Genomic DNA, 13,132 nt, shown 5'->3' with positions numbered 1-13,132 from the left:
ATGCATTTATTCAATGTAAAAAAAAATCACATTTATTAAATTCATCACTGATCTCATCAGGAAAGTCTCAAGAAACTGCCTACTGACTAGCTGGGATTACAGGCACGCGCCACCATGCCCAGCTAATTTTTGTATTTTTAGTAGAGATGGGGTTTCACCATATTGGTCAGGCTGGTCTTGAACTCCTGACCTCATGATCCACCCGCCTTGGCTTCCCAAAGTGCTGGGATTACAGGCATGAGCCACCGTGCCTAGCCTCACATGTCTTAATATTAAGACAGCCTCAACCTCCTGGGCTCAAGTGATCCTGCCACCCAAGCCTCCTAAGTAGCTGGGACCACAGGTGTGTGCCACCATGCCCGACTAATTTTTTATTATTATTTGTATAGATGAGGTCTCACTATATTGCCCAGCCTGGTCTTGAACTCTCAAGAGATTGAGACCATCTGGTGGTGTGTGATTGTAATTCCAGCTAGTCGGGAGACTGAGGCAGGAGAATCACTTAAACCCGGGAGGCAGAGGCTTCAGTGAGCCAAGATCATGCCACTGCACTCCAGCCTAGTGACAAAGTGAGACTCCGTCTCAAAAAAAAAAAAAAAAAAAAAAAAGAATGGTATACAGGACAAAGGCAGTGATGGCCCTCTCCACCTTGAAACACACATATAAGAGCCAGAATTTACTAACACAATAAATATGATACATCTGAAACTGTTGCCCTGTAATGTACAGTTTAGGAAAATGATGACATTTAAATAGAGACCTCAGGGAACATGATGGCTGAACTTCAATATTAGAAGAAACATATGAAAGAAAGATAAGGCTTACTGTGTGGCTACAGATGCCAGAATTAGGGAAAATAGGTGGCATCTCCATGGGGAGCAGAATTCAGCTCAATACAAGGAATTAGGGATGGCAGCATTTTATGTAGACAGAAATATGGTTTGGGTGTTAGATAGAAATGAGATTAAATCAATCAAGAATTTATGGCCAGGCATGGTGGCTCACATCTGTAATCCCAGCACTTTGGGAGGCCGAGACAGGTCAAGGCCTGCTTGAGCCCAGGCGTTCCAGACCAACCTGGACAATGTGACAAGACTCTGGCTCTACAAAATAGAAAAAATTAGCTGAGTAAGGTGTGGCTCAAAGCTACTCAGGAGGCTGAGGGGGAAAGATGACTTGGGCCTGGGAAGTTGAGACTACAGTGAACCGTGATTGCACTACTGCACTTCAGCCTAGGAGAGAGAGTAACATCCTGTCTCAAAAAAAAAAAAAAAAAAAAATAGGCCGGGTGTGGTGGCTCACACTTGTAACGCCAGCACTTTGGGAGGCTGCAACGGGGGGATCACAAGGTTAGGAGTTCAAGACCAGCCTGAAAACACAGTGAAAACCCGTCTCTACTAAAAATACAAAAATTAAGGCTGGGTGCGGTGGCTCACACCTGTAATCCCAGCACTTTGGTAGGCGGAGGCAGTGGGACCACTTGAGGTCAGGAGTTCAAGACCAGTCTGGCCAACATGGTGAAACCTCCCTCTACTAAAATTACAAAAATTAGCCAGGCACGGTGGCGGGCGACTGTAAACCCAACTACTCAGGAGACTGAGGCTGGATAATTGCTTGAACCCGGGAGGTGGAGGTTGCAGTGAGCCGAGATCTCACCACTGCCCTCCAGCCTGGGTGACAGAGCAAGACTCAGTCTCGGGAAACAAAAAAATTAGCTGGGCATGGTGGTGGGCACCTGTAATCCCAGCTACTCGGGAGACCAAGGCTGGATAATTGCTTGAACCTGGGAGGTGGAGGTTGCAGTGAACCGGATCATGCCACTGCACTCCAGCCTGGGTGACAGAGTTAGACTCCGTCTCAAAAAATAATAATAATAATAAATAAATAAAATAAAATAAAAAATAAACCAGAAGTGGTGGCTCACGCCTGTAATCTTAGCACTTTGGGCGGGTGGATGCCTGAACTCAGGAGTTCAAGACCAGCCTGGGCAACATGGTGAAACCCCCGTCTCTACTAAAATACAAAAAAATTAGCTGTGCATGGTGGCATGCACTTGTAATCCCAGTTACTTGGGAGGCTGAGGCAGGAGAAGTGCATGAACCCGGGAGGCGGAGGTTGCAGTGAGCCGTGATCTTGCCATTGCACTCCAGCCTGGGCGACAGTGCAAGACTCCACCTCAGGGAAAAAAAACAAAAAAAGCACTCATTAATAGTAGCTAATTATCATTACAACTAATTTTCTCATCATCATCAGTCAAAAACAGTACACTACAGGAGGAAGTGAGGAGATGCTTGCTTCTCACTTGCTTCTTCCTAGAAACCCAGCCCAAATGTTTCAGGAAGAATTGCTCTCTTTGTGTCCGGAGTTGATTCCTTCCGGTGGGTTTGTGGTCTCCCTGACTTAAACAATGAAGCCGCGGACCTTCATGGTGTTAAAAACAGCTCTTAAAGCTGGCAGGGACCCAAAGAGTGAGCAGCAGCAAGATTTGTTGTGAAGAGCGAAAGAACGCGAAAGAACAAGGCTTCCATAGCGTGGAAACCGACCTGAGCAGGTTGCTGCTGCGGGCTAACAGGAATGGGTGGGGGGCAGGGGGCCAGCTTTTACACCCTTGTTTGTCCCTGCCCATTTGCTATTTCTGTCCTATCAGAGTGCCCTTTTTTCAATCCTCCCTGTGATTGGCTACTTTTAGATTCCTGCATTTTACAGAGCGCTGATTGGTGCATTTTGCAGAGTGCTGATTGGTGCATTTTACAATCCTCTTGCTAGCTACAGAGGGCTGATTGGTGTGTTTTTACAGAGTGCTGATTGGTATATTTTACAATCCCCTTGCTAGGTATAGAGCGCTGATTGGTGCATTTCACAATCCTCTTGTAAGACAGAAAAGTTCTCCAAGTCCCCACTCGACCCAGGAAGTCCAGCTGGCTTCACCTCTCATCTTCTCTGTGCTTTCTTGAAGCCCTTTTAACTAAACTCTATTATGATATTGCTGGGCTGGGTTTTTCTTACATGACAGTTCTCCAGAGCCGTGAACAGTGCCTGCATCAGCAAAACTGTCTTATAAATGCAAACTCCTGCCCTGAACAGTGCCTGCATCAGCAAAACTGTCTTATAAATGCAAACTCTTGCCTTTTGGGGTAGAGTGCAATAGAGTTTCCCTCTTCCTCCTGATTAGAAGGATACTTTAAAATAAAAAAATAAAACTTTAGTTATATTGTGGCTTAAAAACATGTTTTTTTCCTAATTGTGTGTTTCCTTGGGATGATTGGGTGAAAGGTGCTGACGGAGATTAATGACACTGAAAAAGGTGAGCACAACTTACAATGAAAAAGAGGACATTTTTGTGGCGCAGCCAGTGAAAAGGGGGAAATTCAGGAAGCTATGAGAGGCCTATGGGGGGACCTAACCTACTCTAGGGAATCAGGGAAGACCTCAAAGGGGAAGTAATCTTAACACTGAACAGTATTTTTTTTTTTAGACGAAGTTTCGCTCTTGTTGCCCAGGCTGGAGTGCAATGGCGCGATCTCGGCTCACTGTAACCTCCACCTCCTGGGTTCAAGCGATTCTCCTCCCTCAGCCTCCCGAGTAGCTGGCACTACAGGCGCCCGCCACGACGCCCAGCTAATTTTTGTATTTTAGTAGAGATGGGGTTTCACCATGTTGGCCAGGCTGGTCTTGAAACCCTGACCTCAAGTGATCCACCCACCTCCGCCTCCCCAAGTGTTGGGATTATAGGCTTGAGCCACCGTGCCGGCGTGAGTAGGAATTTTACAGAGATTTGAGGAGGCAGAGATTGAGGACTAAGAAATCATTGGAAATTTGAGGCAGCGGCGATATGATAAAGTTCTGGTGAAGAATCTAAGATTCAAAAATTTTGAGGATGTGAATTACAGAACTGTCCAGAAGTGGTTGATTTTTTGGGGGCCAAGCATCAGGGGGCTCGCTTATAAAAATCATATGTTCTAATTTTTTTTTTTTTTTTTTTTTGAGATGGAGTCTCGCTCCATCGCCCAGGCTGGATCGCAGTGGCTGGATCTCGGCTCACTGCAAGCTCCGCCTCCCAAGTTCAAGCAATTCTTGTCTCAGCCTCCTGAGTAGCTGGGACTACAGGCACCTGCCACCACGCTCGGCTAATTTTTGCATTTTTAGTAGAGACAGGGTTTCACCTTGTTGGTAAGACTGGTCTCGAACCCCTGACCTCAGGTGATCCACCCGCCTCGGCCTCCCAAAGTGCTGGGATGACAGGCGTGAGCGACTGCCCCTGGCCCATATGTTCTAATATTCTAGGTTACAACGCTCTACGCTGCAATCTCTCCACCGTTACAGTTTAAAAACTATAAGTCCCTACCACCCTCGCCTACTGTGCGTGCGCGGCGCGCGGCGCTTCGGGCCTTGTAGTCTTGGACAGACCCCCGAGGCCCATGGTGCCGTGCGGCGGGTCGTTGCGCCTGCGCGGTGCGAGCGGCGGGCAGCGCAGACTGCGAGGCTCTTTTGTTCGGCTGAGGGGAGGGCCGTTGGCCGGGGCCTGCGGTACGCCGCTTCAGTGAGGGACGCCACTGCGGCCACCCGGCTTGCTGCCTTCCTGGGCGCCACTCCCCCAGGCGACCCGACGCGACGCGCCAGCAGCGCAGCACCGATTCCTCTCGGGCTCTTGGGCGCTGCTCTGAGGTGAGGAGCCCGCTGGAGGCGGGAGAGCTGGGGGAGGGGGCGCGGCGGCGGCGGCGGCGGGAGCCCTGCGTGAGGGAACGCGCTTTCGAGGCGGAGGTTAGGAGCGGGGAGCGCGCCCGGGTCCAGCGTCCTGCTTCTCCGCTTCCCGCGCTGAGCTCTTCGCCTGTCGCTGAGGCGTCGGTGCCAGCTGCGTGAAGGATGGAGAGGGCGGGGCGCGAATCCTGAGCCAGAGACTGAGTGCTTGGGGGTGGGCCGAGCACTTGGGGGCCGCTCTTCGGGGCCCGGGTGGTCTGGAACAATGTTGCTTGGCTGGGCGGCTGCGGGATAGGGCGGAAGGGGACAGGCTTGAGGCTTGGATAGGCGTGAGGAGGCGCATACGACCGCACAACCCGAGGTTTGTAACTGTATTCGGAAGACGCCGGGTCCGGCTGGGACTGCCAGAGGAACCTGGCTTTGCAGGACTACGGAGGAGTAACGTCGAGTGAATTGGAAGAGGGCCCAGGGCCGCACAAGGTGTGCTGATTGGAGGAGGAGATGTGTGGAATAAATTGGGAAAGGGGACACGGAGGGGGAGGGGCAGGCGTTTGCTGGGCCTGACTCTGGAAGGGGAGGAGCTGTTAGGATAAGTAGGGCGGAGATCCCGAGAATATTTCTATAAGGTATGTAAGAAAAAAGGGGAAAGCAGGCCGCCCTTGCATCCTGATGGGTCCTTACAGTGGGGAGGCTGTAAGAATAATGTGCGAAGAAAGGATGGAATACGCTTTTTTCAGTTTTCCAGGTTTCCTACTACCTTCACTCCATGATTCCTTTGGGGAGTTAAAAAAGTCCAAGTGCAGTTCTTGCTTTGATTCAAAATTAGTTCCGTACGTTTTTGTGTGGGATCGTAACTGGTCTCACAAAGGTGATGAAATTGTAAAAATATGTAGATGAGTTAATAGTTGAGGAACGGCGTGAGGTAGTGAGAGATTGTGAGATCGTGTGAGGTGCGAGAAATTGGGAGACATAGGAAAATTATGTGAGATTGTGAGGTAATATTTGTTTCGTGGGCCCTTCTGTTTTTAGCCAGCTTTTCCTTGTTGGAAAATTTGAATAGAGTGAGCTATATTTTACCTCTTTTTTTTTTTTTTTTTGAGAAGAGTCTTCCTCTGTTGCCCAGGCTGGAGTGCAGTGGTGCGATCTTGGCTCACTGCAACCTCCACCTCCCGGATTCATGCGATTCTCTTGCCTCAGCCTCCCGACTAGCTGGGATTACAGGCACACGCCACCACGCCCGGCTAATTTTTGTATTTTTAGTAGAGACGGGGTTTCACCGTACTGGTCACGCTGGTCTCGAACTCCTGACCTCGTGATCCTCCCGCGTCGGCCTCCCAAAGTGCTGGGATTATAGGCGTGAGCCACTGCGCCTGGCCATATTTTACCTCTTTTTCAAAGTTTCAAATGAGGGTTTTTCATAAATTGGTGTTACATTTAGACGTGTTGGTTTAACGCAATTGAGGTGGAATTTACAAAAAGTTCAGCTATAATCAGTTATATACTAGAACCCCTAGCCCAGGGTAAAGTAGCCTCCTCAATTGTGTTAAGAGTCACATCAGCAGTTTGGAAAGATTGTGAAAGGTCCAAGGCTTTGGAATAGATTCAGGAATACAATGGGGAAATTAATGCCGGTGTTCCTCCCTAGGTGCCTTATAGACTTTTATATGAAAGTGGTGTGATTGAAAAGCACTTGTATTGAAACCGGTGGCACCTTAATGAAGCTTCACGGGAGTGGAGGACCTGAAGTCGTTTACGGTTTTCCCTGTGGTGATATTTTTCTTCAATGGCTGCTGTATCCTAAATTGTTTCTCATTAAAAAAATAAATAGTAGGGTCGGGCGCAGTGGCTCAAGCCTGTCATCCCAGCACTTTGGGAGTCTGAGGTGGGCGGATCATGAGGTCAAGAGATCGAGACCATCCTGGCCAACCAACATGGTGAAACCCTGTCTCTACTAAAAATACAAAATTAGCTGGGCCTAGTGGCGCATGCCTGTAGTCCCAGCTACTCGGGAGGCTGAGGCAGGAGAATCGCTTGAACCCGGGAGGCAGAGGTTGCAGTGAGCCGAGATCTGCACCACTGCACTCCAGCCCGGGCAACAGAGCGAGACTCTGTCTCAAAAAAAAGAAAAGATAGATGATAGGTAGATAGATGGTGTGTGAAATAAATAGTTTTGAATGTAAATAGAAGCCTAGTGGTAAGTAAGTTACCCTGGTCTTCTGCATTTCTGAATACAGGATACCTATAACTTACAAACTATACCTCTAAAGAAAGATAGCACTCATTCTTGTGCCCATTTTAAGGACTAGGAAAATGTTTCTCTTTGTTGTTCACACCATTTGAAAATAATTCATTAAATTTTGGCATCCTCTAGTGGTTTATCTAGCAAAACCTCCCTTTTTTAAAAAAAAATCCTATCTGCAGTGGTGTAAGAGATTTTGCATTAGATTTGGTAGATTTTCACTTCATAGGTTCTTTCCACGAAGAGTTTCTGGTGTAGAAGGCTAATTGCTAGTTTATGGGCTCCCATAAAATGGAGCCATACTGGCCCCATCTCTACTAAAAATACAAAATTAGCTGGGCGTGGTGGTGCACACCTGTAATCCCAGCTACTTGGGAGGCTGAGGCAGGAGAATCGTTTGAACCCGGGAGGCAGAGGTTGCCATGAGCCGAGATCGCGCTATTGCACTCCAGCCTGGGCAACAAGAGCGAAACTCTGTCTCAAAAAAAGAAAAATGAAAAAATGGGGACGCACCTCTTGTTCATTAGTGCCTGGCACATAGTAGGCCGTTCAGATTGTTGATGAATGAATGATGAATAGGGGAGCTTTGAGATCCATTCTGAGAACTCAGCCAAATTAATGTGCATAGTAGTTTGCTTGTCCTGTGTCTGTGACATTTGGCAGAGTTAAGCTGTTGCTTTGCCATGTTTGTCTTAGCCTCAGTTAGTTTCTTTTTGTTTGTTTGTTTGTTTGTTTTTTGTTTTTTTAAGACAGAGTGTCGCTCTGTTGCCAGGCTGGAGTGCAGTGGTGGCATCATGGCTCACTGAAGCCTCAACCTCCTGGACACAAGCAGTCCTCCCACCACAGCCTCTTGAGTAGCTAGGACTACAGTCTCATGCCACCATGCATGGCTTCTTTTTTGTGGGGACAGTCTCTGTTGCCCAGAATGGTTAGCTTCAGTTTTGTACTCACTCTGGTACTAAATATAGAAAAGGTATACAGGCTGTGCAACTGGCCGTTTTAAATACCTCAGGCCTCAGATTCTGGGTTTTGTCAGCAAGCAAATAGCTTGAATATATCTGTTTTAAAAGAATCTTGAAAAATCTTCTGTGTCCTTTGTATTGACCTGAGCAATAATTTACCAGTAGCAATGTCTGTTGAAAAATTGAATAGCCTTTCCAAGGTTATTTGGAGAAGTTACTCAGATATGGACAAAATTTAGATCTTGTCAATATTTGCATAGAATAACTTGTATTAAATCTTTCCTGCCTTTAGCATTTATACTTTGATGACCAGAAGGGGGCAACCTAATTTGTCTGTGAAATTGTGCCTTTTAAAATAATAGTTGACACTTTGAGTGCGTAACAGAACTATGGTATTAATTTTTTTTTTTTTTTTTTGAGACAGAGTCTCGCTCTGTCGCCAAAGCTGGAGTGCAGTGGCGCGATCTCAGCTCACTGCAACCTCCGCCTCCCAGGTTCAAGCGATCCTCCTGCTTCAGCCTCCGGAGTAGCTGGGACTACCAGGGGGCCCCGACAACGCCCGGCTAATTTTTGTATTTTTAGTAGAGATGGGGGTCTTGCCATGTTGGCCAGGCTGGTGTTGAACTCCTGACCTCGGGTGATCTACCCTCCTCGGCCACCCAAAGTGTTGGGATTACAGGTGTGAGCCACTGCGCCCAGCCTATAGTATTAATTTTTAACTGACAAGAATGGTGTATCCTTATGGGGTACAATGTGGTGGCGTTTTTTTTTCTTTTTTTGAGACGGAGTTTCGCTCTTGTTGCCCAGGCTGGAGTGCAGTGGCGCAATCTCAGCTTACTGCAACCTCCGCCTCCTCGGTTCAAGTGATTCTCCTGCCTCAGGCCTCCTAAGTAGCTGGAATTACAGGCGCCTGCCACCACGCCTGGCTAATTTTTTGTATTTTTTTAGTAGAGATGGGGTTTCATCATGTTGGCCAGGTTGGTCTTCAACTCCTGACCTCAGGTGATCCACCCTCCTTGGCCTCCAAAGTGCAGAGATTACAGGCGTGAGCCACCACGCCCAACTTGTGGTGGGGGTTTTTGAACTTTTATTTTTCTCACATAAATAGAGGCAGGGACTCACTATGTTGCCCAGGCTAGTTTCGAACTCCTGGCCTCAAGTAATCTTCCCACCTCACCCTCCCAAAGTACTGGGATTACAGACATGAGCCACTGCACCTGGCCCACTGTGGTGGTTTTTGTTTTTCTTTTCTTTTTTTAGACAAGTCTTGCTCTGTCACCCAGGCTGGAGTGCAGTGGTGCACTCCACTCAGCTCACTGCAGCTTCCACCTCCCGGGTTCAAGTGATTCTCCTGCCTCAGCCTCCTGAGGAGCTAGGAATACAGGTGCACACCACCATGCCCAGCTAACTTTTTTTGTATTTTTAGTAGAGATGAGGTCTCACCATGTTGGCCAGGCTGGTCTTGAAATCCTGACCTCAAGTGATCCACCCACCTCAGCCTCTCAAAGTGCTGGGATTGCAGGTGTGAGCCACCATGCCTGGCCACTGTGGTGTTCTGATACGTTTCCAATGTAGTCATAATTCTGGTCTAGCTTTCTAACCACTTTTATTTTATCTTAAATTCACCTTTGAAAGATAGCTTGAGGTATCTCTGTGTCCATACTAACATTTGTAGACTCTTGTGGCCTCTCAACCCAAAAATCTGTGTCAAAATATCCATGTCAACATACTCAAGGGGTTTTCCAAGTTTCAGAACACATCTCAGATAAAATTCAAAATGTATTCGCACACCAGCATTCTAGCCTTTGATCCTCTGGAATTCAAGGGCTGGTGTTCCTTTAAAAATGAAACTCCTGACTGGGCGTGATGGCTCACGCCTATAATACCAGCACTATGGGAGGCCTAGATGGGTGGATCACCTCAGGTGGGAACTGAAGACCAGCCTGACCAACATGGAGAAACTCCGTCTCTACTAAAAATACACAATTAGCTGGGCGTGGTGGTGCATGCCTGTAATCCCAGTGACTCGGGAGGCTGAGGCAGGAGAACTGCTTGAACCTGGGAGGCGGAGGTTGCAGGGAGCCGAGATTGCACCACTGTACTCTAGCCTGGGTGAAAGAGCAAGACTCCATCTCCAAAAAAAAAAGAAACTCCTGCTAACTGTGTGTGGCATAAGTTCTTGTTTTCTGCTTAGTCAAGTTTTCCATCTGGAAAGCATTTGCTTCGCAAACAGCCACAGCTTACAGACTACAAGCAGTTTAGAAACAAGACTACCACCTGAATATACTACACATGCCTTCACCTGCCTTTTGATGATTGGTATGTAGTTGCTGATTCTTTCAACAAAAGGTACTTCTTTCTTGTTTTCTCTTTAGGGCTTATGGATCAGATTTATCTTGCTGCTTATTCCCTTAAAAGCTTATAGCTTTGGAATTCTATTCCCTGATGCTTCTGAGACAGTCATCCTCTTTTTTTTGAGATGGAGTTTTGTTCTTGTTGCCCAGGCTGGAGTGCAATGGTGCAATCTCAGCTCACCGCAACCTCAGCCTCCCAGGTAGCTGGGATTACAGGCGTGTACCACCATGCCCAGCTAATTTTGCATTTTTAGTAGAGATGGGGTTTCTCCATGTTGGTCAGGCTGGTCTCGAACTCCCAACCTCAGGAGATCTGCCTGCCTCAGCCTCCCAAAGTGCTGGGATTACAGGCGTGAGCCACCGCGCCCCACCTGAGACATCCATCTTTATTGTCCATATAGGGTTCAACAACTTGTTCAGGTTCCAGACCTACCTTTAATTGTATGTGCAAGTAAAAATAGAAACAGAATGCTTTGGGAACCCCAAAGAAAAGAGAAATATTATTTAGCTAGGTTGGGTAGGCTTCATGGAGAAAGTAGCATTTTTAAGCTGGGTCTTGAAGAATGGATAGGATTTTGACTGTTGGCCCTGTACAGGAGCACACTACTTTCTTTTTTCTTTCTTTTTTTTTTTGAGGCAGAGTCTTGCTCTGTCACTGAGGCTGGAGTGCAGTGTCAAGATCTTGGCTCACTGCAACCTCTGCCTGCCTGGTTCAAGTAATTCTTGTGCCCCACCCTCCCAAGTGGCTGGGATTACAGGCATGCACCACCACACCTGGCTAATTTTTGTATTCTTAGTAGATATGGGGTGTCACCATGTTGGCCAGGCTGGTCTTGAACTCCAGGCGTCAAGTGATCCACCCGCCTCGACTTCCCAAAGTACTGATTTATAGGTGTGAGCCACCAAGCCCAGTCAGGAGCACACTTTTTTTTTTTTTTTTTCCTTTGAGACAGAGTCTTGGTCCGTCACCCAGGCTGGAGTGCAGTGGCGCGATCTCAGCTCACTGCATCCTAACCCCGTTTTCCGGATTCAAGCAATTATCGTGCCTCAGCTTCTTGAGTAGCTGGGACTACAGGTGCGCCATGCTGGCTAATTTTTTTTTTGTATTTTTAGTAGACACGGGGTTTCACCATGTTGCTGGGCTGGTCTCAAACTCCTAGCCTGAAGGATCCACCCACCTCGGCCTCCCAAAGTGCTGAGATTACAGGTGTGGGCCACAGAGCCCAGCCCACACTTTTTTTTTTTGGAGACAGAGTCTTGTCCTGTATCCCAGGCTGGAGTGCAGTGGCACAATCTTGGTTCACTGCAGCCTTCACCTCCCAAGTTCAAGGAATTCTCCTGCTTTAGCCTCCTGACTATCTGGGATTACAGGTATGTGCCACCACACCTGGATGATTTTTGTATTTTTACTAGAGTTGGGGTTTCACCATCTTAGCCAGGCTGATCTTGAACTCCTGACCTCAAGTGATCCACCTGCCTTGGCCTCCCAATGTGCTGGGATTACAAGCATGAGCCACTGCGCCCTACCAAGCCCACACTTCTTTTTTTTTTTTTTTTTTTTTTTTGAGACAGAGTTTCACTCTTGATGCCCAGGCTGGAGTGCAGTGGCACGATCTTGGCGCATCGCAACTTCCGCCTCCCAGGTTGAAGCGATTCTCCTTCCTGAGCCTCTGGAGTAGCTGGGATTACAGGCATGCGCCACCACACCCAGCTCATTTTGTATTTTTAGTAGAGATGGGGTCATGTTGGTCAGGCTGGTCTCGAACTCCTGACCTCAGGTAATTCGCCTGCCTCAGCCTCCCATAGTGCTGGGATTACAGGCGTGAGTCACCATGCCGGGCCTAAGCCCACACTTCTTAATACTTAATAGATGAGCAAAGCTATGGAGGAAACATAGGATATGTTCAGGTTGTGGCCAGGTTATAGTCTTTGACAGGAATGTAGATTTTGTGAGGGAAGAAGGGACATAATTAGTCTGGAATAAGAACCGAAGAATATAAGTGTTACACTGACGACTTTGGCCTTTTGTTTTAAATGGGAGGAAACCTTGTAGAAAATATTTCCTATTCAGTCAGCTCCAGCCCAAACTGGTTTATATGTGTCACATTGCCTTTGTTTACAACAGTTCCTGAAGCCAAATTGCCCTACCAGTACACCTTTTCAAATGCTAGTAAAGCCTGGTTTCAAACTCAGCTTTTCAAAATGTTTACTGATGCCCTCGCCAGTTCTTCCTCCAACCTCCTATAGTGCGTTTATGGCTACTTTTTATTGCTTATACTGCTTTTGGTAATTATGTATGCTTGCCATTTCGGACTCTCACTTGAACTTGCATTGTTTACCTTTTTGTAAATTTTTTTCGAGACCTGTCTTCTGTGTCTTTTTTTTTTTTTTTTAATTTTATTTTTGAGACAGAGTCTCGCTCTATTGCCCAGGCTGGAATGCAGTGTCGTGATCTGGCCTCACTGCAACCTCTGCCTCCTGGGTTCAAGCAGTTCTCCCTGCTTTAGCCTCCCAAGTAGTTGGGTAGCTGGGATTACAGGCGCCTGCCATCATGCCCAACTAATTTGTTTCTTTCTTTTCTTTTCTTTTCTTTTTTTTTTTTTTTTTTTGAGACAGAGTTTTGCTCTTGCTGCCCAGGCTGGAGTGCAATGGTGTGATCTCGGCTCACTGCAACCTCTGCCTCCTGGGTTCAAGCGATTCTCCTGCCTCAGCCTCCCGAGTAGCTGGGATTACAGGCATGCGCCACCACGTCCGGCTCATTTTGTATTTTTAGTAGAGACTGGGTTTCTCCATGTTGGTCAGGCTAGTCTTAAACTCCTGACCTCAGGTGATCTGCCGACCTCGGCCTCCCAAAGTGCTGGGATTACAGGCCTGAGCCA

At 47.5% G+C, this 13,132-nt stretch overlaps 1 protein-coding gene across 2 annotated transcripts in view, besides 5 other annotated features; it reads left to right on the top strand.

The window, feature by feature from the left end:
• Window positions 4,037-4,296: an enhancer, noted in NCBI's record as "active region_12326". NCBI's record gives its function as "activates an Ori minimal core promoter by ATAC-STARR-seq in GM12878 lymphoblastoid cells {active_cell/tissue: GM12878}" and the evidence as "EXISTENCE:reporter gene assay evidence [ECO:0000049][PMID:35858748]".
• Window positions 4,037-4,722: a biological region, named in NCBI's record as "NANOG-H3K27ac-H3K4me1 hESC enhancer GRCh37_chr17:46178573-46179172".
• Window positions 4,123-4,722: an enhancer, noted in NCBI's record as "NANOG-H3K27ac-H3K4me1 hESC enhancer chr17:46178573-46179172 (GRCh37/hg19 assembly coordinates)". NCBI's record gives its function as "activates a minimal SCP1, AML or CMV promoter by ChIP-STARR-seq in naive H9 embryonic stem cells {active_cell/tissue: H9 hESC(naive)}" and the evidence as "EXISTENCE:reporter gene assay evidence [ECO:0000049][PMID:30033119]".
• The window catches only part of CBX1 (chromobox 1), a 31,420-nt gene continuing 22,742 nt past the window's right edge, over window positions 4,455-13,132 (top strand). The window contains exon 1 of one of the 2 annotated variants that reach the window (NM_001127228.2): window positions 4,455-4,665. The gene's annotated coding sequence lies outside the window, so the exon portion shown is untranslated. Of the gene's footprint in view, window positions 4,666-4,746; window positions 5,179-13,132 lie in introns of those variants that run through there. The other variant, NM_006807.5, reaches the window with a different exon arrangement.
• Window positions 4,667-4,716: a silencer, noted in NCBI's record as "silent region_8649". NCBI's record gives its function as "represses an Ori minimal core promoter by ATAC-STARR-seq in GM12878 lymphoblastoid cells {active_cell/tissue: GM12878}" and the evidence as "EXISTENCE:reporter gene assay evidence [ECO:0000049][PMID:35858748]".
• Window positions 11,365-11,954: an enhancer, noted in NCBI's record as "H3K27ac-H3K4me1 hESC enhancer chr17:46171341-46171930 (GRCh37/hg19 assembly coordinates)". NCBI's record gives its function as "activates a minimal SCP1, AML or CMV promoter by ChIP-STARR-seq in naive H9 embryonic stem cells {active_cell/tissue: H9 hESC(naive)}" and the evidence as "EXISTENCE:reporter gene assay evidence [ECO:0000049][PMID:30033119]".

This window comes from Homo sapiens, chromosome 17, assembly GCF_000001405.40.
Source record: "Homo sapiens chromosome 17, GRCh38.p14 Primary Assembly".
Classification (NCBI taxonomy): Eukaryota; Metazoa; Chordata; class Mammalia; order Primates; family Hominidae; genus Homo; species Homo sapiens.
The sequence above is the reverse complement of the archived record's forward strand: the minus strand, read 5'-3'. Positions and strand labels throughout refer to the sequence as shown.